Raw genomic sequence first — 26,340 nt, 5'->3', positions numbered from 1 at the left:
TGCTATCAAACACTGGAACTTATTCCTTCTCTCAAACTGTTTGTTTGTACCCATTAACCAACCTCTCTTCACCCCCTCCCCATACTTCCCAGACTCTAGTAACTATCATTCTACTCTCTACCTCCATGAGATAAATATTTTTAGCTCTCACATATGAGTCAGAACATGTAATATTTGTCATTCTGTGCCTGGCTTGTTTCATCTAACATAATGAATTCAAGTTCAATCCATGTTGCTGCAAATGACAGGATTTTATTCTTTTCAATGGCTGAATAGTATTCTATTGTGTATATGTACCACATTTTCTTTATCTGTTCATCCCTTGATGGACACATGTTGATTCTATATTTTGGTTATTGTGAATAGTGCTGCAATAAACATGGGAGTGCAGATATAGCTTTGATGTACTGATTTTCTTCCCTTTGGATTAATACCCAGTTTTTCAGTTTTTTTTTGAGAAACCTCCACACTGTTTTCCATAATGGCTGCACTAATTTACATTCCCACCAACAGTGTATAAGAATTACCTTTTCTCCACATTCTTACCTGCATTTATTTTTTTGTCTTTTTGATAATAGCCATTCGAATTGGGATATGTATCTCACAGTGATTTTGATTTTCATTTCCCTGATGATCAGCAATGTTGAACATTTTTTCATATATCTCTTGGCCATTTGTATGTCTTCTTTTGAGAAAGGTCTATTCAAATCACTTGCCCACTGTTTAATCATATGATGTGTTGTTGTTTTCTGTTGAGTTGTTTGCGTTCCATGTATAGTCTGGATATTAGTCCTTTGTTGGATGAATAGCTTGCAAATATTTTCTTACATTCTCTAGGTTGTCTCTTCATGCTGTTGATTGTTTTCTTTGCTGTGCAGCAGAGTTTTAGTTCAATATAGTCCCATTTGTCTATTTTTGTTTTTGTTGCCTATGCTTTTGAGGTCTTAGCCATAAAATCTGCCAAGACTGATGTCCTGAAGCATTTCCCCTATGTTTTCTTCTAAGGTCTTAACATTTAAGTCTTTAATCCATTTTAAGTTGATTTTTGTATATGGGGAGAGATACACATCTAGTTTAATTATTCTGCATATAGATACTCAGTTCCTCCAGCACTATTTATTTATTTATTTAGAGTCAGGAACTCACTCTGTTGCCCAGGCTGGAGTGCAGTGGCACTATCATAGTTCACTGCAGCCTTGACTTCCTGGGCTCAAGCAATACTTCCACCTAAGCCTCCCAAGTAGCTGGAACTACAGGCACTATCCACCACACTCAGCTAATTTTTAAAGTGTTTGTAGAGATGGCGTCTCCCTTTGTTGCCCAGGCTTGTCTTGATCTCCAGGGCCCAAGCAATACTCCCACCTTGGCCTCCCAAAGTGTTGGGGTTACACACATATGCCACCACGCCTGGACACCATTTATTGAAGAGGATGTCTTTTACCCAGTGTCTGTTCTTGGTGCTTTTGTTGAAAATCCATTTGCTGTGAATATACGGATTTATTTCTGGGTTTTCTGTGCTTTTCCATTGGTCTATGTGTCTATTTTTATACCAATACCATGCTGTTTTGGTTACTAACTTTATAGGATGTTTTGAAGTCAGGTAATATGATGCCTTTAACTTTGTTCTTTTTGCTCAGCATTGCTTTGGCTATTCAGGATCTTTGTGGTCCCATACGAATTTTAGGGCTGCTTTTTCTTTTTCTGTGAAGAATGTCATTGCATTTTGATAGGGATTGCATTGAATATATAGATTGCTTTGGGGAGTATGGTCATTTTAACAATATTAATTCTTCTGATCCATGAACATGAGACATCTTGCAGTTTCTTTGTGTCCTCTTTAATTTCTTTCATCAGTGTTTTGTAGTTTTCCTTGTAGAGGTATTTTACATCATTGGTTAAATTAATTCCTAGATTTTTTATTTATTTTATAGCTCTTGTAAATGGGATTTATTTCTTGATTTCTTTCTCAGTTCATTATTGGTGTATGGGAACACCACTGATTCTTGTATGTTGGTTTTATATACTGCAACTTAATTCACTTATCAGTTCTAAGAGATTTTTTGGTGAAGTCTTTAGATTTTCTCTATGTACAATTATGTTATCTGCAAAGAGGGACAATTTCACTTCCTCTCTTTCAATTTGGATGCCTTTTATTTCTTTCTCTTGCCTGATTGCTCTGGCAAGGACTTCCAGTAATATGTTGAATCAGAGTGGTAAAAGTGAGCATCCTTGTCTTGTTTCAGTTATTAGAGGAAAGGCTTTCAGCTTTTCCCCATTCAGTATGATGTCAGCTGAGGGCTTGTTATACGTGGCCTTTATTATGTTAAAGTATGTTCCTTCTATGCCTAATGCATTGAGAATTTTTATCATTAAGGGATGTTGAATGTTATCAATACTTTCTGTGTCTATTGGGATGATTATATGATTTTTTGTCCTTCATTGTGTTCATGTGAGGTATCACATTTGTATGTTGCGCCATCTTTGCGGAATCCCTGGGCTAAATCCCACTTGCTCATGATGTATTATCTTTTTGATGTGCTGTTGGATTGAGTTTGCTAGTATTTTGTTGAGGATTTTAGTGTCTATGTTCATCAGGAATATTGGCTTGTAGTTTTCTTTTTTCTGCTGTGTCCTTGTCTGGGTTTGGTATCAGGGTAATGCTGGCCTTGTGAAATGAGTTTGGAAGAATTCCTTCTCTTTTGGAAGAGTTTGAGAAGAATTGGTGTTAGTTCTTTGTAAGTTTGGTAGAATTCAGCAGTAAAATCTTTCAGTCCTGGGCTTTCTTAGAAGACTTTTTATTACTGATTCAATCTCATTATTTGTTACTGGCCTGTTCAAGTTTTCTATTTCTTCCTGGTTCAATCTTGATGGTTGTATGTGTCCAATAATTTATCCATTTTCTCTAGGTGCTCCAAATTGTTAGTGTTTAGCTTTTCATAAAAGTCTCCAATGATCCTTTGTATTTCTGTGGTATCAGTTTATCAGTTGTAATGTCTCCTTGATTTTCTTTATTTTTGTGTTCTTCGCCGCCCCCCTCCCCCCTCCCCACCCCACTCCCCGGTTAGTCTAGCTAGCAGTTTTATTGATTTTATATTTTCAAAAAGTCACATTTCGGCTTTTTTGATCCTTTGTGATTTTTTAAGTCTCTATTTGGTTTAGTTCTGCTTTGGCTCTGATCTTTTAAATTTTTATTTTATTTTAAAAATTTGAGACAGGGTCTTGCTCTGTCACCCGGGCTAGAGTGCAGTGGCACGATCACAGCTCACTGCAACCTTGACCTCCTGGGCTCAGGTGATCCTCCCATCTCAGCCTCCTGAGTAGCTGGGACTATAGGTGTGTGCCACCATGCCTGCCTATTTTTTAGAATTTTTTATACTGATGGAGTCTCACTATGTTGCCCAGGCTGATCTAAAACTCCCAGGCTCAATCAATGCTCCCCCTTCAGCCTCCCAAAGTGTTGGGATTACAGGTGTTAGCCAATGTACTATGCTTTGATCTTTATTATTTCTTTCCTTCACTAATTTTGGGTTTGGCTTGTTCTTGTTTTTCTAGTTCCTTGAGGTACAACATTAGGCTTTTTATTTGAAATATTTCTTCTTTTTAGATGTAGGCATTTATTGCTATAAACTTCCCTTTTAGCACTGCTTTTGCTGTATCCCATAAATTTTGATATATTCTGTTTTCATTTTCATTTGTTTCAAGACTTTTGTTGTTGTTGTTGTTGTTAGACAGAGTCTTGCTCTATCATCCAGGCCGGAGTGCAGTGGCACAATCTTGGCTCACTGAAACCTCTGCTTCCTAGGTTCAGGCAATTCTCATGCCTAAGCCACCCAAGTAGCTAGAACTACAAGCGTGTGCCACCATGCCAAGCTAATTTTTGTATTTTTAGTAGAGATGGGGTGTCTCCATATTGGATAGGCTGGTCTTAAACTCCTGGCCTCAAGTGATCCACCTGCCTCAGCCTCCTAAAGTACTGGGATTACAGGCGTGAGCCATCATGCCTGACTTGTTTCAAGACTTATTAAATTTCCTTTTTAAATTCTGCTTGTCCTAGTGGTCACTCAGGAGCATGTCATTTAATTTCCATGTATTTGTGTAGTTTCCAAAGTTTCTCTTGATGTTGATTTCTAGTTTTATTCTGCTATGGTTTGAGAAGATACTTGATATGATTTTGACTTTTAAAAATTTGTCGAGATATGTTTTGTGGCCTAACATGTGGTCTATCCTGGAAAATGTTAATGTGCTGATGAAATGAGTGTGTATTCTGCAGCTGTTGGATAAAATGTCCTGTAAATGTCTGTTAGGTTCATTTGGTCTAAAGTGAAGTTTAAATCCAATGTTTCTTTGTTGATTTTCTGTCTAGATGATCTGTCTAGTGCTGAGAGTGGGGTGTTAAAGTCTCCAACTGTTATTGTATTGGAGTCTATCTCTCCCTTTAGTCTAATAATATTTGCTTTATGTATCTGGGTACTGTGGTATTCGGTGCATATATATTTAGAATTATATCTTCTTGCTGAATTGATCCCTTTATCATTATATAATGACATTATTTGTCTCTTTTAACACTTTTAGACTCAAAATCTGTTTTATCTAAGTATAGCTACTCCTGGCTCTTTCGGTTTCCATTTGCAGGGAATATGTTTTTTGTACTTTCACTTTTAGTCCATATGTGTCTACAGGTGAAGTAAATTTCCTGTAGGCATCATGCAGTTGGATCATTTTTTTCATACACTCAGCCAATCTATTTATCTCTCTCATTTTTTTTTCAAAGGTGGGGTCTTGCTATGTTGCCCAGGCTGGACACAAACTCCTGGGCTCCAGTGATCCTTTCATCTTAGACTCCTGTATAGCTGTGACTACAGGCACATGGCTCTATACATTTTAGGTAGGCAACTTAATTTAATCAATTTAAACTCAAGGTTATTATTAATAGGCAACAACTTATTTTCGTCATTTTAAAATTTGTTAAAAAATAATAGAAATTGTTTCTGGTTGTTTTGTATAGTATCCTTTGTTCCTTTCTCTCTTACTGCTTATCATTACAGTTTGGTTGTTTTCTGTAGTGGTAACATTTGAGTACTTTCTTTTTCTCATTTGTGTGTTTGCTCTACCAGTGAGTTTTATACTTTTGTGTGTTTTCATGATGATATCTACCATCCTTTCACTTCCAGATGTAGGAATCCCATAAGGATTTCTTGTAGGGCTGGTCTAGTGATGATAAATTTCCTCAGTTTTTGCTTATCTGGGAAAGACGTTTTTTCTCCTTTGTTTTTCAAGGATAGCTTTCCTGGGTATAGTATCCTGGCTGGCAGTTTTATTATCTTTCAGCACTGTGAACATATTGTCTGATTCTCTCCTGGCCTGTAAGGCCTGCTGAGAAATCTGCTGGATTCTTTTATATGTGACTTGACACTTTTCTCTTGCTGTTTTTAGAATTCTCTTTGTCTTTGACTTTTGACAGTTTAACTATAATGTGCCTTGGAGAAGATCTTTTTGGGTTGAAGCTATTTGGAAATCTTTGAGCTTCCGGTATCTGGATGCTTATATGTCTTGCAAGACTTGAGAAATTTTCAACCAAATTTTTTTTTTTTTTAAGACAGAGTCTTGCTCTGTTGCCCAGGCTGGAGTGCAGTGGCACAATCTCAGCTCACTACAACCTCTGCCTCCCAGGTTCAAGCGATTCTCTTGCCTCAGCCTCCTGAGTAGCTGGGATTACAGGCACATGCCACCATGCCCAGCTAATTTTTGTATTTTTAGTAGAGACAGGGTTTCACCATGTTGCTCAGGCTGGTCTCGAACTCCTGACCTTGTGATCCTCCCGCCTCAGCCTCCCAAAGTGCTGGGATTACAGGCGTGAGCCACTGCGCCCAGTCTTTTCAATGAAAATTTTATTAAGTATATTTTCTATACCTTTGTCCATCTCTTCTTCTGGACTACCCAAAATTTAAATATTTGGTCTAGACTGCTTGCTCTAGTCAATTGTTGAAGCTGTAAGTTGTATTATTTTATTTTATTCATTGAATTATTCAATTTGAGGATTTATGTTTGGTTCTTTTTTATGATATCTATTTTGTTGTTGTTGAATTTCGCATTCAGATCATGAATTGCTTCTCTGATTTCTTTGCATTGTGTTCTATTGTGTTTCACTAGGCTTCTTTTATAGCATACTTTTGAATTCTTTTCCAGGCATTTGGTAGATCTCTTTTTCATTGGAGTCTGTTGGAGCCTGTTGCTGGAGAATTATTGTGTTCCTTTGGAAGTAGAAGTGTCATGTTTCCTTGATTTTTCATGTTTCTTGTTTTTTCATGTTTCTTTTTTTTTTCTTTTTTTTTTTTTTTTGATAGAGTCTCACTCTGTTGGCCAGGCTGGAGTACAGTGATGCAATCTCAGCTCACAGCAACCCTGCCTCTGGGGTTCAAGCAATTCTCCTGCCTCAGCCTCCTGAGTAGCTGGGACTACAGGCATGCACCACCATGCCTGGCTGATTTTTGTATTTTTAGTAGAGACAGAGTTTCACCATGTTGGCCAGGATGGTCTCGATCTCCTGACCTCGCAATCCACCTGCCTCGGTCTCCCAAAGTGCTGGGATTACAGGTGTGAGCCACCGTGCCCAGCCGCTGTGTTCTTATATTGATATCTACACATTTGGTACAACAGTTGCTTCTTCTAATATTGTGGAGTGACTTTCACAGAAAAAGACTTTTTTTCTGTATATGTGTCTATAGTGTTGGTTGGGTAGGGCACTTTGGCTTTGATTCTAAGTGGACCCAGAAGTATAGTCTTTATATGATTTTTTTTCAGCACCAGTGGTGGTGGTGGCAAGTCAGGTGTGCCAGTCCTTGGGCCCCTGGATGGTGTATAAGGATACCAGTGGTAGTGGGTGTAGGCAGGACAATCTTTGGGTCTCCAGGTGACTTTTGCGGGTGCCAGCATTGGCAGTAGTGGGCTAGGTGGGTGAGTGGGTCTCATGGTTGCATAGCATTGATGATAACAGTACTGGTGGTGAACGAATCCATGCCCTCCCCCCTCTGCAGCACATGCTGGCACCAGCATTGGTGGCAACAGGCTGGGTGGACCCATCTTCAGGCCCCCAAAAGGTGTGTGCAAGTGCTGGTGGTAGCAAGTGGGATGGGTCAATTCCTCGGCCCCTGATGTGTGTGGGTGCTGGTGGTAGTTGGCAAGGTGTTCCTATCCTCAATATCCCCCGTGGTGTAAGCACATGCTGGTGGCAGCAGGTAGGCAGGTTGATCCCCCGGGCCCAGACAATGTTCATGGGCACCAGAAGGCTGGGCAGACTCATCCTCCAGCCCTGGGGATGTTTGTGTGGGTGCTGGTGGCAGCAGGGGGGCAGATCAATCCCCTGACCTCTGGACAATGTGCATGGGCACTGATGGCTATGCCAGGCAAGGGGATCAAATGGTATGCACAGGCACAGTCTATGGTGGGTGAGGTGGATCGATCCCTAGGCTCCTGGAGAGTATGCTTGGGTACCAGCAGTGGTGGTAGTGAATGGGCAGACCTGTCCCTAGGTTCCCTTCTGGCATGCATGGGTGCCAGCGATGGGTGGGGTAAGCCAAGCCTGTCATCAGGCCCCCCAATAGTTTGCATGGGTGCCAGAGGCCATGGGCAAAGTGGGTTCATCCCCAGGCTCAGGGACTGGTGGGTAGTGATGGTGGGCGGAGTGGGTCTGTTCTCAAGTTCCTGAATGATGGCTGGTGCTGGTGCTGGTGATGGGAAAAGTGGATCATCCTCAGTCCCCTCATCTTGATGGTGCACACAAGCAGTAGCAGCAGTGGGTGGGCTGGGTCAGTCCCTTGGCCCTCAGATGATGTGCACAGTCAGTGGCGGTTGTGGTCAGTGGGTGAGCCTGTCTTCAGGACCCCCAATGGTGTGCATGAACACAGCTGTGATGGGTGTTCAATCTCCCAGCCCCTGGATGACATGTGGAGATGGTGGTGGCAGTGGTGGGTAGAGTGGTCTTGTCCTCACGCCCTGGGAAGGTGCCCAGGCAAGCCGGTCCCCAGGCCTCCTGAAGGTGCATGCAGGTTGTATTAGTCCATTTTCACACTGCTATAAAGAAATACCCGAAATTGGCCGGGCGCCGTGACTCACGCCTGTAATCCCAGTCCTTTGGGAGGCCGAGGCGGGTGGATCACGAGGTCAGGAGATGGAGACCATCCTGGATAACACGGTGAAACCCCGTCTCTACTAAAAATACAAAAAATTAGCTTGGCTTGGTGGCGGGCGCCTGTAGTCCCAGCTACTCGGGAGGCTGAGGCAGGAGAATAGCGTGAACCTGGGAGGCGGAGCTTGCAGTGAGCCTAGATCGCGCCACTGCACTCCAGCCTGGGCGACAGAGTGAGACTCTGTCTTAAAAAAAGAAAAAGAAAAAGAAAAAAGAAAAAAAAAATAAAGAAAAAAAGAAATACCCGAGACTGGGCAATTTACAAAAGAAAGAAGTTTAATTAACTCACAGTTCTGCATGGCTGGGGAGGCCTCAGGAAACTTACAGTCATGGCGGAAGGCAAAGGGGAAGCAAGGACATTTTCACATGGCGACAGGAGAGAGTGTGTGTGAAGAAGGAACTATCAAACACTTATAAAACCATCAGATCTCATGAGAATTTACTCACTATCATGAGAACAACATGGAGGAAACCGCCCCTGTAATCCAATGACCTCCCACCAGGTCCCTCCCCTGACACGTGGGGATTACAATTTGGATTACAACTGGAGATGAGATTTGGGTGGGGACACAGCCAAACCATATCACAAGTGCACAGTGACCCCGCTGCTGGGGGGATGGTGGGGGTGCTGTCAGTGGCAGTGGTCCCAGGCGGGCAGCTCTGCGGCTCTGGGAAACATGGGCTTTGGCTCCCTTTGTCCCAGGGGCAGCCTCCCTGGTGTGGTGCACCACCCATTCCCAGGTTATAGGACATGTGTAGACTAGATTGCTGGGGACCCAGTCACCCTGCATTGTGAGGCTGCAGCCTTCTGGGTGGACATGGCGGAATGTCAGCAGGACTCCATGGATGTGGAGATGCAGGGGCTGTTGAGCCCCAGGGCGGGATGGGGTCTGGTCAGGGGTGGGCTCTCAAAATGGTGCTGTGCTGCAGCTGCTCAGGTCTCAGAGGATGTGTAGGACCCATCATAAAATCCCTCTTTGGAACAATGCAGGCGGCTCTCTATACTAGTCTCAAAGCCCATGAGGGCCAAGGGGCTCTCTGTGGCTAGGGCCACAGGAGTCTGTGGTGGGAATGCAGCCTTGCGGGGATCTCTCATTTACCTTTTCCCTACGTTGGGCAGTTTCTCTTGGATCTGAGCTGATCCTGGCTGGGCCGGCTGCTTCACATCATTCTCTTTGCATGTTTCCGAAGTTCCTTGTCCTTTCCCTCTGAATTCCAGTGTTCTTTCTAAGCTGCTCTACTTGACATGTGATTATTCATTTGCTGTTTGAGTCCTTTGTGAAGGAAGTGAGTGCTGGATGCCTCTGGTCACCATCTTGAGCTGAAGAATGTTTCTTACCATTCACAATTAAAAAAAAAATAAGACAATGATGAGGTTTGCTGCATCAAATGACTCTTTCAAAAACATTCCTCTGTAGCATATGATGCTATTTGATAACCTTTTACTCACAGCAGAACTTTCAAAATTGGAGTCAGTTCTTTCAAACCCTGCCAATGCTTTATCAAGTAAGTTTACGGAATATTCTAAGTCCTTTGTTGTCATTTTAACAATATTGGCGGCATCTTCACCAAGAGCAGATTCCATCTCAAGAAACCATCTACAAGATGGTCTTTGCTCATCCATAGGAAGCAACTCCTCGTCAGTTCAAGTTTTATCATGAAATTTAAGCAACTGAGTCACATCTTCGGATTCCACTTCTAATTCTAGTTCTTTTGCTATTTCCACCACATCTGCAGTTCCTTCCTCCACTGAAGTCTTGAACTCCTCAAAGTCATCCATGAAGGTGGGAATCAACTTCTTTCAAACTCCTGTTTATGTTGATTTTTTTATCTCATCCCATGAATTACAAGTTCTTAATGGCATCTAGAGTGTTGACTCATTTTCAGAAGGTTTTCAATTGACTTTGCCCAGATCCATCAGAGGAATCACTATCTACAGCAGCTAAAGCCTCATGAAATACATTTCTCATATAATAAGACTTGAAAGTCAAAGTTAGTCCTTGATCCATGAGCATCAGAGTGGATGTTGTGTAAGTACACATGAAAACAACAGTCATCTCCTTGTACATCCTAATCAGAGCTCTTGAGTGACCATGTGCACTGTTTGCGAGCAATAATATTTTGAAGAAATTTTTTTTAGAGCAGTAGGTCACAAATGTGGGCTTAAAATATTAAAATATTTAGTAAACCATGCTGTAAACAAATGTGCTGTCATTTAAGCTTCATTGTTCCATTGGTAGAGCACAGGGAGAGTAGATTTAGCATAATTCTTAAGGGCCCTAGGATTTTTGGAATGGTAAATGAGTGCTGACTTCAACTTAAAGTCATCATCTGCATTAGCTCCTAACAATGGAGTCGGCCTGTCCTTTGAAGCTTTAAGTCAGGGATTGACGTCTCCTCTCTAGCTAGGAAAGTCTTAGACGGCATCTTCTTCCAGCAGAAGGCTGGTTTATCTACACGGAAAATCTGTTGTTTAGAGTAGCCACCTTCATCAATGATCTTAGCTAGATCATCTGGATAACCTACTTCTGCTTCTCCCTCAGCCCTTACTGCTTCATTTTGCACTTTTACGTTATGGAGATGGTTTCTTTCCTTAAACCTCATGAACCAACCTCTACTAGCTTTCAGTTCTTCTGCAGCTTCCTCACCTCTCTCAGCCTTCGCAGAGTTGAAGAGAGTTAGGGCCCTGCTCTGGATTAGGCTTTAGCTAAGGGAATGTTGTGACTGGTTTGATCTTCTATCCAGACCACTAGAACTTTCTCCATATCAGCAAGAAGGCTGTTTTGCTTTATCATTAATGTGTTCACTGGAATAGCACTTGGGATTTCCTTCAAGAGCTTTTCCTTTGCCAGTTGTAAAGCTTGGCTAACTGGTACAAGAGGCCTAGCTTTCAACATGTCTTCTTCATTAAGCTTAATCATTTCTTTTTCTTTTTTTTCTTTTTCTTTTTTTTTCTTTTCCTTTTTTTTTTTTTTTTTTTTGAGACAGAGTCTCACTCTGTTGCCCAGGCTGGAGTGCAGTGGTGCGATCTTGGCTCACTGCAACCTCCGCCTCCTGGGTTCAAGTGATTCTCCTGCCTCAGCCTCCCGAGTACTGGGACTATAGGCGCGTGCCACCACACCCGGCTAATTTTTTGTACTTTTAGTAGAGACGGGGTTTCACCATGTTAGCCAGGATGGTCTCGATCTCTTGACCTCATGATCCACCCGCCTCGGCCTCCCAAAGTGCTGGGATTACAGGCGTGAGCCACCGCGCCCGGCCAAACTTAATCATTTCTAACTTTCTATTTAAAGTGAGAGATGTGTGACTCTGCCTTTCAGTTGAACACTTAAAGGCTATTGTAGGGTTATTAATTGGCCTAATTTCAATATTGTTTGTCTCAGGGAATTGAGGAGGCCCAAGGAGAGGGAGAGATGGGGGAACGGCCAGTTGATGGAGCAGTCAGAACACATATTTTTATCAGTTAAATTTGCTGTCTTATATGGGCACTGTTTGTGGTGCCCCCAAACAATTCGAATAGTAACATGAAAGATCACTGAGCACAGGTCACCTCAGCGATATAATAATAAGAAAGAGTTTGAAATATTGTGAGAATTCTGAAAATGTGGCACAGAGACTCAAAGTGAGCACATGCCGCTGGAAAAACGGTGCTGATAGACTTGCTCGATACACAGTTGCCACAGACCTTCAATTTAAAAAAAAAAATGCAATATCTGAAGTACAATTGAGTGAAGATAAATAAAACAAGGTATGCTGCTGACACGGCCCTGCCCTCATGGAGCCTGCTGACATCAACAAACCACACGTCAACAAATTCACAGCACATTGTGGGGTGCAGGGCTGTGGAGTGAAGCCAGCCTGGGCAGGGGGCCTGGGAGGTGAGGGAGGATGCTGGGGCTGCCCCTGTAAATGACCCCATGCTTCTACACCATAGAGAGAGCACGTTGTGTTACGTGACTGATAAGTACATAGAGGAGTGGGAAGAGAGCAGGGCTGGCCCTCACGGCTGGCCTTGTGTCCCACTGAACAGGGACGATCTCACAAACACCAACTCAGACAAGAGCATGCATGATGGCACCAGATCAAGACCAAAATAAGACCACTCTGCCTGCAATTTTGTCTGCTCAGACCAAAGCAAGAAGATTGAAACAAAAAAATGATCCCTCATCGCCTATCCTGGCTGATGTCAGTGATGGCTGCTTTTCTGCCAACAGTGGCTTTAGCCTCACACGGTTCTTTTAGCCTTTTAGGTGAGAATTATTAAGATAGCCAAGCACAGAATCATCCCCTTCTTCCTGACAGCATCCTGGATCCTCCCCTGAATCACCCAACTCAAGCCCAGACATTATAAGTCCTTTTTGATATTATTGAGACCTCCTCATGGTTACCTGTGGTTTATGGTTTCATGAAACGAGTAAAAAACCTCAATTTTGTTTGGCTATAAGTGTGCTCCTGGTGGTCTTTGGCTAGAGAATGTTGACAATGGAAAAGTAATAAAAATTAAATGATTTGAGCAGAAATAATAGTTTAGTTTAATATCCTCTGTTTTTAGAAACTTGAGGAGAGATTCTCTCCCTCTATTCTCTACACTGGAGGACTTTGGTAAGCAAAAGGCCTTGATGACCATAAGGAGAACTTTGGAAATCAAAGCTTAGTTACGGTTTCAGTGGACAAGAAAGTTTTCTCACCTGAAAAATCAAATTCCCCTGTGAATTGTTAGGTCCTCTGATGCACTACGCAGAATTTACTTAGTTTGGTGATTAGACTGGAAGTGGAATAGAAGTGTGAAGGATACTGTCTTAGTTTGCTGGGGCTACCATAACAAGCTAACCAACAAACTAACCGACTGAGAGGCTTCAATGACAGAAAAGAAATTTTTTGCAGTCCTGGAGGCTGGAAGTCCAAGATCAAGGTGTTGGCAGGGCTGGTTCCCCACAAGGCCTCTCTTGAGCTTGGCTTGTAGATGCCTTCTTCTCCCTGTGTCCTCACTCGGTCGTCCCTCTGTGCATCTGTGTCCTCATCTTCTCTCTATAAGGACACCAGTCCTAATGGACCAGGGCCTACTTTAATTTACTTGCCTACTTAAATAGCTCATCTCCAAATACAGCCACCTTTGAAGGTACCGGGGGTTAGACCTTCAACATATGAGTTTTGGGGGTACACAACTCAGCACGTAACAGCGATTTTCCATTATTTATGAGTTAAAGAGAAGAAATAGAAATGAAAACTGTCAAGTAAAATTAGCCAGCTGGCCCAGTTCAGCTCGGCACCCATTCTCCCCACTGAACCATCACACGGAGCTCAGCTGTTGGAGTTTTTCATTTCCATTTAACTTCACACCTGGCTCTCAGCAGCAATTAATGTTCTCAGTAACTAAAAGTCTCCTCTGATATCAGTGATATGAGAAAAATGCTGGCTGAAGCCTTTCAGGCATCATTCAGGTGACATCTGAGTCATTTCCTCGGACCTCTCTCAATCAAACCTCCTAGGTAATTGGATGAATCAGATCAATAAGCGGAGCAGATATTTATTTCCACGTCAGACTTCCTCTCCGCTGGCCATCACTCGGGTGCGTGACGCATCCCCCGCTGGACTAAATCCAGACCCGGAACATCGCTCCTTGGCAGCCCATTCTTCTTTGTGCAGCAGCCTTCTAGGTCACCAGGATGGTGATGGACATTTCTGCAAGAAAAATGATGCCTGGAAGTTAAGCTTCAGCCCATCTGTGGCTGCCCACAAGGTCCCCTAGAAAGGCAGCATTTTCAAGGCCTGTTTTTCAAAGCATGTTATAAAAACCTCGGCCTGTGGAATAGCACTCTCATCACTAAGAATGCAGCCCTTTCCCCACGTGCTCACCCCTATTTTGGGGAGGCATGCGCAGAGCCATGTGGTCCAACCTCACACAATTGCTTCTCTTGGGCACCTCCACAGTGGCGGTACCCCAGCCGCCGGGGGCTGCCCTTGAAAGGGCTCAGTCACACACCTCCCACCTTCCCAGATGGTCAAGGTCATTTGAGGGGATGTCAAATACAGTGAAAGGAACCAACAGTCCTGCCAGACCTGGGTTCCCATTGCAGGCCCATCAAGGTCAGCTGCAGGACCTTGGCAGGCCTCTCCACCTTGGGCAGCCTCTGCCATCTGAAAAAGGGGTGTTGCTGCAGCTCCATCCCTCTTTCCTAGAGACACTGGGCATGTGCTGCCTGCCTTAGTCTGTTGGGGCTGCTATTACAGAATACCATAGAGTGGGAGCTTAAACAACAGACATTCATTTCTCACAGTTTTGGAGGCTGCAAAGTCTAAGATCAAGGTTTGGTGTCTGGTTTTCAGATGGTGGCCTTCTTTCTTCCTGTGTCCTCACAAGGCAGAGAGAGCTCTCTTGTCTCTTCCTGTTTTTATAAGGGCACTAATCCCATCATGGGGGTCTCACCCTCATGATCTGCTCTACCTCCAATCACCTCCCAACAGCCCCACCTGCAAATACCATCTCACTGGGGACTAGGGCTTGATTGTATGAATTTTGGAGGATATATTTAGTCCATGGCACTGCCTCCAGAATGCACAGAGCCCTGGGACACCTTCATAAATGTTAATAACATCATCATTGTCCCACTAATAGAGAATATGCCAAGGCCACCTAGGTTGTTTGCTCACTGCCACACAGGGCGACAGGGACATGGGCCTTCCGGCCCTCACGGGTGAAGACAGGCTTGTGGACTGTGGTGGTTGTGTCTGCTGGGCTGGCTGGGTCCTCATTGCCCCCACAGTCCCCTGGGGGTACCCTTGTCAAGTCAGTTCCCTGAGGTCCACACTCCCTGCTACCCCACAGGGCCGAGTGCTTGCAGGCTGCCTCAATAGATGTTGGTAGAAAGATTATAAAATTGCCTCCTGTGAGTCTGAAGCAAAAATGAGGACTCTAAAACCCAAGCTCATCCTCCTGCAACTGGATGAGTCCTTATCTCTGGGTTGGATGAAACACGTGCCCACAAGACAGCCATCACCCTATCTGCAATAAATCAGTAGCGGCATTATCGTAGCGACTCTGCTGTGAAACTGGAAAGGAGCATGCATTAGGAGAAGGCTAACCCTGCAAGACACCCTCATTAACAAAATTGTCAGAGCACAGAATAGCAGAAGACAGCCTTTTTTTTTGGTGATGTGCCGGCAGAACTGTGCATTCGTGTTCAGGATGTAGAAGCTGTGCAGGGAGAGAGGCAACATTTTGAAGGTGTGAGCTATTTTGTGCTAATCGTCTTCTAATTATTTTTCTTTGTCTGATTTAATACATCTTCACTGCGACCAGCTGTATGAGTGCACTTGGGCTACTGTAACAAAATACCACAGACTGGGGGAGCTTAAATAGCAGAGACTTACTTTTCCAGGTTTATTTATTTATTTATTTATTTTTGAGACTGAGTCTTGCTCCGTTGCCCAGGCTGGAGGACAATTGTGCCATCTCACCTCACTGCAACTTCCACCTCCCGGGTTCAAGCGATTCTCCTGCCTCAGCCTCCCAAGTAGCTGGGATTACAGGCACCCACCACCACACCAGGCTAATTTTTCTATTTTTAGTAGAGACAGAGTTTCACCATGTTGGCCAGGCTGGTCTCGAACTCCTGACCTCAAGGGACCACTCGCCTCAGCCTCCCAAAGTGCTGGGATTACAGGCGTGAGCCACTGTGCCCGGTCTTCAGATTTATTTTCTCAAGATCAACATGTCAGCAGGAGTGGCTTCCCTAAGCCCTCTCTTCTTGGCTTGTAGATGTTTGTCTTTTCCTTGCGTCTTCACATGGTCCTTTCTCCGTGTGCATGTGTGTCTGATGTCACTCTGTGGGACCAAATCTCCTTTTCTTATAAGGACACCAAGCCTGTTGGATGAGGGACCAAATGATTGACCCCATTTTTATCTTAATGATGTCCTTAAAGGCCCTCTCTCCAAATACAGTCACATTCTGAAATACTGGGGCTTAGGACTTTGACATATAAATTAGGGGCCAACACAATTCGGTGCATGACACCAGGCAATATCTAACTGTGTTAAGTTCTTCATATTTTGGGGATCTCCCTTTTTTTGCAACCGGAATCAATAATGTGTTTTAAACTTGCTTAATTTGGGCCATGTGTGGTGGCTCACACCTGTAATCTCAGCACTCTGGGAGGCCGAGGCGGGCGGATCACCTGAGGTCAGGAGTTCAAGACCATCCTGACCAAAATGGTGAATCCCCACCTCTACTAAAAATACAAACATTAGCTGGGCGTGGTGATGCATGCCTGTAATCCCAGCTACTTGGGAGGCTGAGGCAAGAGAATCGCTAGAACCCAGGAGGCGGAGGTTGCAGTGAGCCAAGGTGGCGCCACTGTTCTCCAGCCTGGGCAACAAGAGCAAAACTCTGTCTCAAAAAACAAAGGCAAAAACAAAAAAACTTACGTAATTTGATCATCAGTAATAGAGCCCTTTCCAGGCCCGGTACCATGGTCAGCCCTGGGGATGAAATGATGGTGGGGTTCAATGGGGTGACATGTCACAGCCCTAGTGTGGCACCAGCACTGGCATCACACACTGCCCCTGAACTTCTATCCTGGGTGGAGGAGGCAGGCAAGCATGCAGCTTAGAAAGCGCCTTCCCTCCTTTAGGCTCCCAGGGAGGGAGGAGGGGGAAAGCTGAGTGGAGCCCTTGGCTGCGTCTTGGAGATGAGGTTGAGTTCTGTATGACTCAAGAGCACCATGAGCAGAGGAGAAAGTGCAGGGCCTAGGATGGGTGTGGGTGGCGCTGAGGACATGACTCTGAAGCTGGCATGAAATTAGATTATGAGAGGGCTGGAGCCTTGCACAGAGGGGGCCTGGACTTCCTCCTGTGGGCCTTGCCCCATGGGAACCCAGCTTTCTGAGTGCTGTTTCATAGCTCTCCACGCTCACGCTCACTTGACACCCCCTCTACTGTCGCTGGTGTCCCTGCTGAGAAACTGTCTGGTGAGGCTGAATGGAAGCTCTTCCCAGCCCACCAGACGTTTCTCCCTGCCTACTTTCAGCTGCGAGGAGGCCCAGCCTCCAGATGGGCGAGCCAGGTCATCTTAGACAACTGGGGCCACACGAGCGACCCCGGGCCACAGCAACCCCCAACTGCTCACCCACAGGCAAGGGGCCCAGAGCGTGGGCATGGTCAGCGTGGTCGACCATGACGGTTCCTCCAACCCTGGCCCAGAGCCCTTTCCACGGTGCCTGTGGCTCTTCATGGAGGGGCGGAGCTTCTCTCCCCACCTGTCATGGGCTAACACTTGTCCCCTGCACATTCATCCGTTGAGATCCTACCTTAGAATGGAATTGTATTAGTTTGTTTATTTGTTTATTTGAGACGGGGTCTCACTCTGTCACCTAGGCTGAGTGCAGTGGTACAATCTTGGCTCATGGCAGCCCTGACCTCCTGGGCTCAAATGATCCTCCCACCTCAGCCTCCCGAGTAGCTGGGACCACAGGTGTGTGCCACCAAGCCTGGCTAATTTTTAAAATTGTATTTGTAGAGATGGGGTCTCCCTGTGTTGCTCGGGCTGGTCTGGAACTCCTGGCCTCAAGTGATCTTCTCACCTCAGCCTCCCAAAGTTCTGGGATTACAGAACCACCATGCTCAGCCTGTATTTGGAGATAGGGTCTGTAAGAGGTAATTAAGGTAAACATGAGGTCATTAGGGTGGGCCCTAATCCAATATGATTGGTGTCCTTATGAGAAGAAGCAATTAGGACACAGACACACAGAGGGACCGCTGTGGGAGGACACAGGGGGAAGATGGTATCGGACCGACAGACACACAGAGGGACCGCTGTGGGAGGACACGGGGAAGATGGTATCGGACAGACAGACACACAGAGGGACCGCTGTGGGAGGACACAGGGGGAAGATGGTATCGGACAGACAGACACACAGAGGGACCGCTGTGGGAGGACACAGGGGGAAGATGGTATCGGACAGACAGACACACAGAGGGACCGCTGTGGGAGGACACAGGGGGAAGATGGTATCGGACAGACAGACACACAGAGGGACCGCTGTGGGAGGACACGGGGAAGATGGTATCGGACAGACAGACACACAGAGGGACCGCTGTGGGAGGACACAGGGGGATGATGGTATCGGACAGACAGACACACAGAGGGACCGCTGTGGGAGGACACGGGGAAGATGGTATCGGACAGACAGACACACAGAGGGACCGCTGTGGGAGGACACAGGGGGATGATGGTATCGGACAGACAGACACACAGAGGGACCGCTGTGGGAGGACACAGGGGGATGATGGTATCAGACAGACAGACACACAGAGGGACAGCTGTGGGAGGACACAGGGGGAAGATGGTATCGGACAGACACACAGAGGGACCGCTGTGGGAGGACACATGGGGAAGACGGTATCGGGGCCAAGAGGAAACTCCTCCTTCACCCTCTGATTGTTCACAGAAAATCAACTGACAAAAGGTAGGTTAGTAGGAGAAGAAGCACACGGATTTATTAATATGCATAGAGGCAGAGCACAGAGTGATTGCCCACAGTGCAGGGGGTACTGATACTTACCTACCCCTCTTCTTAGGGGAAAGGAGACGGGAAGGTGCGAATGATTTTAGGGGGACAGTACATGATTTTTAGGAGAATTCAATGGGCGTGAAGAACATACAATGGTCTGGGACAAAGTCTGTTGGGCACGCAGAGCAGAGAATGGTTTGTGACCAAAGTCTCTTCAAGCATGCTGACAGACGTCAGTCCTTCTTCCTGGGATCTGAGTTCAGTTAAAGAAAACTCAAAGAAGGGACCAGAGGCCACTGTTGTCTTCTTTGGTGGGTGCAGACATGAGGCAGACAAAGGAACCTCAGAGGACAACTTCCTGTCATGCTTTGGGAGGGACAGAGGATTGAGAGACAGGAGGGAGAGGGGGAAGGTCGGAGAGGCCTGGAGGCTGCTTCTTTAGTCCGGCAGGACAAAGCGCCATGTTGTGGAGTATCCGTTCCTGAGCCCCCATGATGACCATCTGCCAGCCAGGGAGAGATGCCTCAAGAGACACGCCTCAGGAGACATCAGCCCTGCCGACACCTTGATCTGGGACTTCCAGCCTCCAGAGCTGTGAGAACTAACTTTACATTGTTGGAGCTGTCTGTGGTACTTTGTGATGGCAGCCTACACAAACACACACACCAGCCCTTGAATCCAGGCTGGCCTGGGGCCTCGCTGTGACCTGGAGACGGCGGTGGAAGTGCCTCGAGACACGCTGACGCTTCCACTCTTGCCCTCCTGCTGCCCTGAGATGCCTTGTGAATTCTCCCGGGCAGACCCCCCCGGGGGATGAGGCCACGTGGAGAGGGAGGCCCCGCTGTCAGCCAGCACCAGCCTCCAGATGGCCGGGCCAGGTCATCTTAGACAACTGGGGCCACATGAGTGACCCTGGGCCACAGCAACCCCAACTGCTCACCCACAGATATAATCATGAACCAATTAAACGGTTGTTGTCTTAAGCCAATATATTTTGGTGGGGATGGGGGGTTCTTACACAGCCATGGATAACTAGACGTTAAATTTGGGCTGGAAACTAAATAAAATAAATAAAAATCAGATAAAACTAAATACAGAGCCCATGCACCAGGCTAAAAGGATTTCCCAAAATTCATTCATTCAGTAAATGCCATTTGGGTGCCCACCAAGGCCAGGCGCTGTTCTAGGCACTTGGGATACATCAGTGAGCAAAACAGACAGAGCTCTCTGCTTTCATAGTAACCCCGATACACATAGTAAAAAGTAAAACGTGGTAAGTGAGATGGGAGAACATTCTAAACAGGGTAAGAGGAAATACAGGGGTAAAAGACGGCAGGCTGCAATTTTAAATAACGGCTGTCGGCCAGGCGTGGTGGCTCACGCCTGTAATCCCAGCACTTTGGGAGGCCAAGGCAGGCAGATCACCTGAGGTCGGGAGTTCGAGACCAGCCTGACCAACATGGAGAAACCCTGTCTCTACTAAAAATACAAAATTAGCCAGGCGTGGTGGTGCATGCCTGTAATCCCAGCTACTCGGGAGGCTGAGACAGGAGAATCACTTGAACCCGGGAGGCGGAGGTTGCAGTGAGCCAAGATTGCGCCATTGGACTCCAGCCTGGGCAACAAGAGCAAAACTTCGTCTCAAATACAATACAATACAATACAATACAATACAATACAATACAATACAATACAATACAATACAATACAATACAATACAATACAATACAATACAATACAATACAATACAATACAATACAATACAATACAATACAATACAACACAACACAATAAATAACGGCCGTCAGGGTAGGCCTTATTGGAAACGTTATCGCCTACTTATTTGAGGAGAGACTAAAAGGAGGTGAACGTGGTAGCTACATAGCTATTGGAGGGAGAGCATTCCAAGCAGAGGGAACAGCCAGTGCAAAGGTCCCGCTGTAGTTTGGAAACTGAAAATTGATCCTCAGTGTTGGAGGTGGGCTCTAATAGGAGGTGTTTGGGTCACGGGGGTGGACCCCGATGAATAGATGAATGCCCTCCCTGGGGTGCGGGGCATTCAGTGAATTCTTGCTCTGTTAGTTCCTGAGAGAACTGGTTGTTAAGAGAGCCTGGCCCTCCTGTCTCTCTCTTGCTTCCTGTCCTGCCATGTGGTCTCTGCAAACACCAGCTCCCCCTTGCCTTCTGCCATGAGTGCCCTCACCAGACGCAGATGCCAGCGCCATGCTTCTTGTACAAGCTGCAGAACTGTGAGCCAAATAAGACTCTTTTCTTAACATTAAGGTTGGTGCAAAATTAATTGCAGATTTTGCCGTTGAAAGTAATGGCAAAAACCGCAATTAATTTTGCACCAACCTAATAATTGACCCAGCCTCAGGTATTCGCAGGTATCCTCAGGTATTCTCTTACAGCAACAGTAAATGGACCTAGACAGGCCCAGAGGTAGGAGCATGCAGGGGACATAGCGGGGGAACTGCAGGAGAAGAGGCCTGGCCCAGCAGGCCCACTGTGAGGGCTTTGCTTTTCTCAGAAGGAAGAGGTCTTTTAGGCAGGGCGCGGTGGCTCACACCGGTAATCCCAGCACTTTGGGAGGCCGAAGTTGCGGGGGCGGGGGGGGAATCACCTGAGGTCAGGAGTTCGAGACCAGCCTGGCCAACATGGTGCAATCCCATCTCTACTAAAAATACAAGAATTAGCCGGGCGTGGTGGGCAGCCCCTGTAATCCCAGCTACTTAGGAGACTGAGGCAGGAGAATCGCTTGAACCAGGGGCACGGAGGTTGCAGTGAGCCGAGATTGTGCCACTGCACTCCAGCCTGGTAACAGAGTGAGACTCCATCTCAGAAAAAAAAAAAAAAGAGGTGTTTTGTTAGAAACCAGTATTCTGGCCATTGGCACCTGGGGGAATCCTGAAGTCCAAAACCTACTTGTCACCAAAGTAGAAATATGAACAGAGTTTGCCCTCACATGTTCTTCACGCTCCACACCACCTGCCAGACGCTGTACCTAACCACCACTGGGGACCTGCTCGTTTCCGCCTTTTGTCCTGGGGAAAGGGGGCTGTTTCCTGAGGGACGGGGCAGTGGTGGGCACCAAGCCTGGCTACCTGGGGCCAGGCTCGGCTCTGCCACTCACTAGCGTTGACCTGGGGCCTGCTGCGGAGGCTGCTGTGAGGACACCGCGTGCAAAAGGCAAATCGGGTCAAGCCCACTGCAAGAAAACCCAGTTACGTGATCGCCCTTCTTGAACCATCTCTCTCCTGACGCCAGAGCGTCTTCCAGCTGCTGGCCCTCTTCTCTGCCCCCTTTCTAGCAAGACTCTGCAAAAGACTTGGTGCTTATGGTTTCCACCTTTTTCCCCCTTTTGTTTCTTGAACCCACCCCAACCAGACTTCCAACCCCCCAGGCCACCAAAACGGCTCTTGTCAAAGTTGCCAGCATTCAGCTGCCTTCTTGACCTCTCTCCCAGGGGTTTAACAGGCACCCCAAACCAACACTTCCAAACCAAATCACTGACGATCCCCTCCAACCTATTCCAAACTCGTTGCACAGTTTGGTTACAGGTAACGTCACCTTGCCAGGTTCTCAGGCCCAAAACTCTGGGATCATCCTTGGTGTTCCTCTTTCATATCCAGCACTCCTGCAGGTACTGCTGGCTCTTCCTTCAAAACAGATGCAGGGATCTGACCTCTTCACAGAGGCTGGAGTGAGCCTTTTTTTTTTTTTTTTTTTTGAGATAAGGCCTTGCTCTGTCACCCAGGCTAGAGTGCAGTAGTGTGATCTCGGCTCAGTGCAACTTCTGCCTCACAGGTTCAAGCAATTCTCATACCTCAGCCTCCCGAGTAGCTGGAATTCCAGGTGTCCACCACCATGCCCAGCTAGTTTTTGTATTTTTAGTCAGACAGGGTTTCACCATGTTGGCCAGGCTGGTCTCGAACTCCTGATCTCAAGTGATCCTCCTGCCTTGGCCTCCCAAAGTTCTGGGATTACAGGTGTAAGCCACCAGGCCCAGCCCGGACTGAGCCTTTTAAACATAATTTAGTCCGACCATGGTGGCTCATGCCTGTAATCCCAGCACCTTGGGAGGCCGAGGCAGGAGGATGGCTTGAGCCAGGCATTTGAGGCTGCAGTGATTAGTGATTGCACCACTGTGCTCCAGCCTGGGCAACAGAGTGAGGCCCTGTCTCGAAAAATAATAATAATAGAAATAAAACACAGTTTAGATTGTGCCATACTGTTCTTCAAAATGGACCTCCTATCTCATTTTAAAACAGAAAGTCCTTACGGTGGCTTCCGGAGCCTGTGTGACCTGCCCTTCTGCATCTTTCTGGCCTCAACTCCCACACTTCTCCCCTTTGATCACACTGAACCACACGGGCCTCCTGGCTGTTCCTCAAACAGGCCTAATACAGTCCCACCCCAGGGCCTTGGCACTCGCTGTTCCATCTGCCTGGAGGCTCTTTCTCTCAGCTAGCTGTGAGGCTCTCTCCACGTTTCCTGCAAGCCTACGCTGACCCTCTCCAGGAAAAGAGCCCGTCCATCCCATCGCCCACCTGAACCTACTTAGTTATCTGTGGCATTGATCAGCACCTGACACTGAACATAAACTCGGTGAGGCTTGGTCTGTTTTGGTCATTGCTACATCCCTAGTACCCTACACAGTCCCTGGCACATGCTCAATGTTCGTTGAATGAGTGAGAGAATAACATTACTCACTGTTCAACAAACACCCTTGTCGTCTCCTCATTGCTATATATATATGTATGCATTTTTTTTTAGACAGGATCTCGCTCTGTCGCCTAAGCTGGAGTGCAGTGGTGCAATCTTGGCTCACTGCAGCCTCCGCCTCCTGGGATCAGGCCATCCTCTCTCCTCAGCCTCCTAAGTAGCTGGGACTACAGGTGCATGCAACCATGCCTGGCTAATTTTTCATATTTTTTGTAGAGACAGGGTTTTACCATGTTGCCAAGACTGGTACTGAACTCCTGGGCTCAAGTGATCTGCCTGCCGTGGCCTCTCAAAGTGCTGAGATGACAGGCATGAGCCATGCCCAGGCTCCTCATTGCTGGTAAATGACAAAACCCCGAATTCCTCGATATGGTCACGTGACATAGCCCCACTGATCTCTGGTTTTATCTGGCTGTGTCCAGCCCTTGGCAAACATGCTGGGCGCATGGCTCAGGCTGATCCCTCATCTGACCCCAGGGCCTTTGCACTCACTGTTCCGTCTGCCTGGAGGCTCTTCCTCTCAGATAGCTTCGAGGCCCTCTCCACATTTCCTGCAAGCCTATGCTGACCCTCTGCAGGAAAAGAGCCTCTCCTGTGAAGTCCCCACCATTCTCCCCACTATCTCTTGAGGGGACCAGCACGGGGCCTGTGACCCCCTCAGGGGTTATTGCTGCAGCTGACAGACGAGGCATTCAGTAGTCACTTAAGCCAAATGGTTATCTGAAATATAGGTGACTAGAAACGAAATCTAGAATTCATGTAGATTAGATTAAATTAAAATTTTAATTAATTTTAATTAATATAAATTAAAAGTCTATCTGAGAGCCTCTAACCTATGTTTTACATGAACACAAGTAAGAATGGACCCCGATGATGTCTGCAGGAAGTTCAGAAGTTCAATGTCAGTTGAATATGAGCTGCCCTGGTTTCAGGTATCCTCAACTTCTCTGGACCCAAGTCTGCGCATAAAAATGGTACAAACATTGCAGTATTCAAAGCACACACAAACATATTCCTCACAGATCACCCCAAATTATGATATTTATTTGGCAATCAGTGAATAGGCTTTAAATATTTGGCAAAGTCAATTCCTATCAATTTCTCTTCATGGAATCCCCACAACCGAGGAGAATCAATGTAACCTCATATTCAGAAGTTATGACCAGCTGGGCGTGGTGGCTCACACTGTAATCCCATCACTATAGGAGGCTGAGGCAAGTGGATCACTTGAGGCTAGGAGTTTGAGACCAGCCTGGTGAACATGGTGAAACACCATCTCTACTGAAGATACAAAAATTAGCTGAGTGTGGTGGTGCATGCCTGTAATCCCAGCTACTTGGGAGGCTGAAGCGTGAGAATAGGGACTTGCTTGAACCCTGGAGGTGGTGGTTGCAGTAAGCTGAGATCGCACCACTGCACTCCAGCCTGGGCGACAGAGTGAGACTCTGTGTCAAAAAAAAAATAATTAATAGAAGTTATGAGCATATTATACAACGACAAACGTGTCATCAGGGAGAGGGAGTTTAGATTAATTTCAAAACTAAAACTGAAAAGAGGTTTGTAATTTTTATGATATGCTTATCCAGTGGATGGGAGTGCTCCATAGACAAAGCCATCCCAAATATTAATGGTTTACTTCTTTATGACACGCAGACAATGCCCCTCTCTTTTCAGAAGTTACTTTGTTTGCAGCTAATTAGAGGAATCCCACTTCTCAGGGTGGTCTTTGTTCATGTATGTCCTGGCACAGATGTGAAGCCATGCTGCTTAATGCAAGGGCCATTAGCGTGGAATGACGTGCTCAGTACATTTCTGGGACAAGGTGACACTGTCATTGATGGTCTGTTGAAGGAAAGAAGCTAATTTTCTTTTAAGCGTAAGCCTTTAGTAGTAATTTAATTAGGCCATGCTGTAAAACCATCACTAATAACTGTCAGAAGTACCCCCTGAGTCACCAGGGAATGACAAAGCTTGGCAAACAGCCTCTTCCTTGGAGCCCCAGAGTTCATCTCCCACCTCATTTTGAAATGGTCCTCACGGGTCTTCAAAGACCCCTGTCTCTTGGCCTGAGTCCGTCCTTCCTCTTTGTGAGACTTCATGAGTGCTTTACATATATATAAACATGCATGAGCATAAACATGCACATGTAATACACAGACAGACAATGTAAAACAGCTTTTTTTTTTTTTTTTTTCTGGAGACTGGGTCTCACTCTGTTGCCCAGGCTGGAGTGCAATGGCATGATCACGGCTCACTGCAACCTCAACCTCCCAGGCTCAGGCGATCCTCCCACCTCAGCCTCCCAAGTGGCCCAGACCACAGGTGCACAACTACTCCTGGCTAAGTTTTGTATTTTTTGTAGAGACAGGGTCTCACTAGGTTGCCTAGGCTTGTCTCAAACTCCTGGGTTTGGCAATCTTCCTGCCTCAACCTCCCAAAGTGCTAGGATTACAGGTGGGAGCCACCATGCTGCATCAAAACATTTTAAGAAAAGAAAAAAATCCCTTTATTTTCAATTCTGTAAAATGACACCACCAGTGCTTGCCCACAAGCTCATCTTTTTTTTTTTTTAACATAGTAGTAACTACCTGATATTCTAGTTCTTTTATTATATTTTCCAAGTTTTTATAATCTTTTGGTTACTATTTTAATGGTTACCAAAATTACATTTTGATACTTAATGCACTTATTTAGGGCATTGAGGCCAAAAGGTTGAATTACAGGAGAGATGGAGGATTGTGGGGAGAGCAAGGGTGAGTAGGGAGAGGAAGGAGGGAAGAGGGAGGAGTCAAGTCACTGAGGGCAGAGGGCAGAGGTCAGAAGGCCAGTGGGATCCTGGTCCCTGCTCCTCCACTTTTCCTGGGATTCTGGAAGCTATCCAGTGTCTTTCCAACATGCTTCACCTTCCTTCCTTCCTTCCT

General features: G+C 46.1%; 1 protein-coding gene across 1 annotated transcript in view, besides 2 other annotated features; it reads left to right on the top strand.

The window, feature by feature from the left end:
- UTS2 (urotensin 2) overlaps nucleotides 1-26,340 on the top strand; it is a 65,638-nt gene that overhangs the window by 29,784 nt on the left and 9,514 nt on the right. The window lies entirely within an intron of this gene.
- Nucleotides 7,382-7,881: an enhancer, noted in NCBI's record as "H3K4me1 hESC enhancer chr1:7935645-7936144 (GRCh37/hg19 assembly coordinates)". NCBI's record gives its function as "activates a minimal SCP1, AML or CMV promoter by ChIP-STARR-seq in naive H9 embryonic stem cells {active_cell/tissue: H9 hESC(naive)}" and the evidence as "EXISTENCE:reporter gene assay evidence [ECO:0000049][PMID:30033119]".
- Nucleotides 13,042-14,241: an enhancer, noted in NCBI's record as "P300/CBP strongly-dependent group 1 enhancer chr1:7929285-7930484 (GRCh37/hg19 assembly coordinates)". NCBI's record gives its function as "activates an origin of replication core promoter dependent on BRD2, BRD4, P300/CBP, MED14 and CDK7 cofactors, with strong dependence on P300/CBP, by STARR-seq in HCT116 cells {active_cell/tissue: HCT116}" and the evidence as "EXISTENCE:reporter gene assay evidence [ECO:0000049][PMID:35650434]".

The sequence above is a fragment of the Homo sapiens genome, chromosome 1 (assembly GCF_000001405.40).
Source record: "Homo sapiens chromosome 1, GRCh38.p14 Primary Assembly".
Lineage (NCBI taxonomy): Eukaryota > Metazoa > Chordata > Mammalia > Primates > Hominidae > Homo > Homo sapiens.
This window is presented reverse-complemented; position numbering and strand designations above follow the sequence as displayed.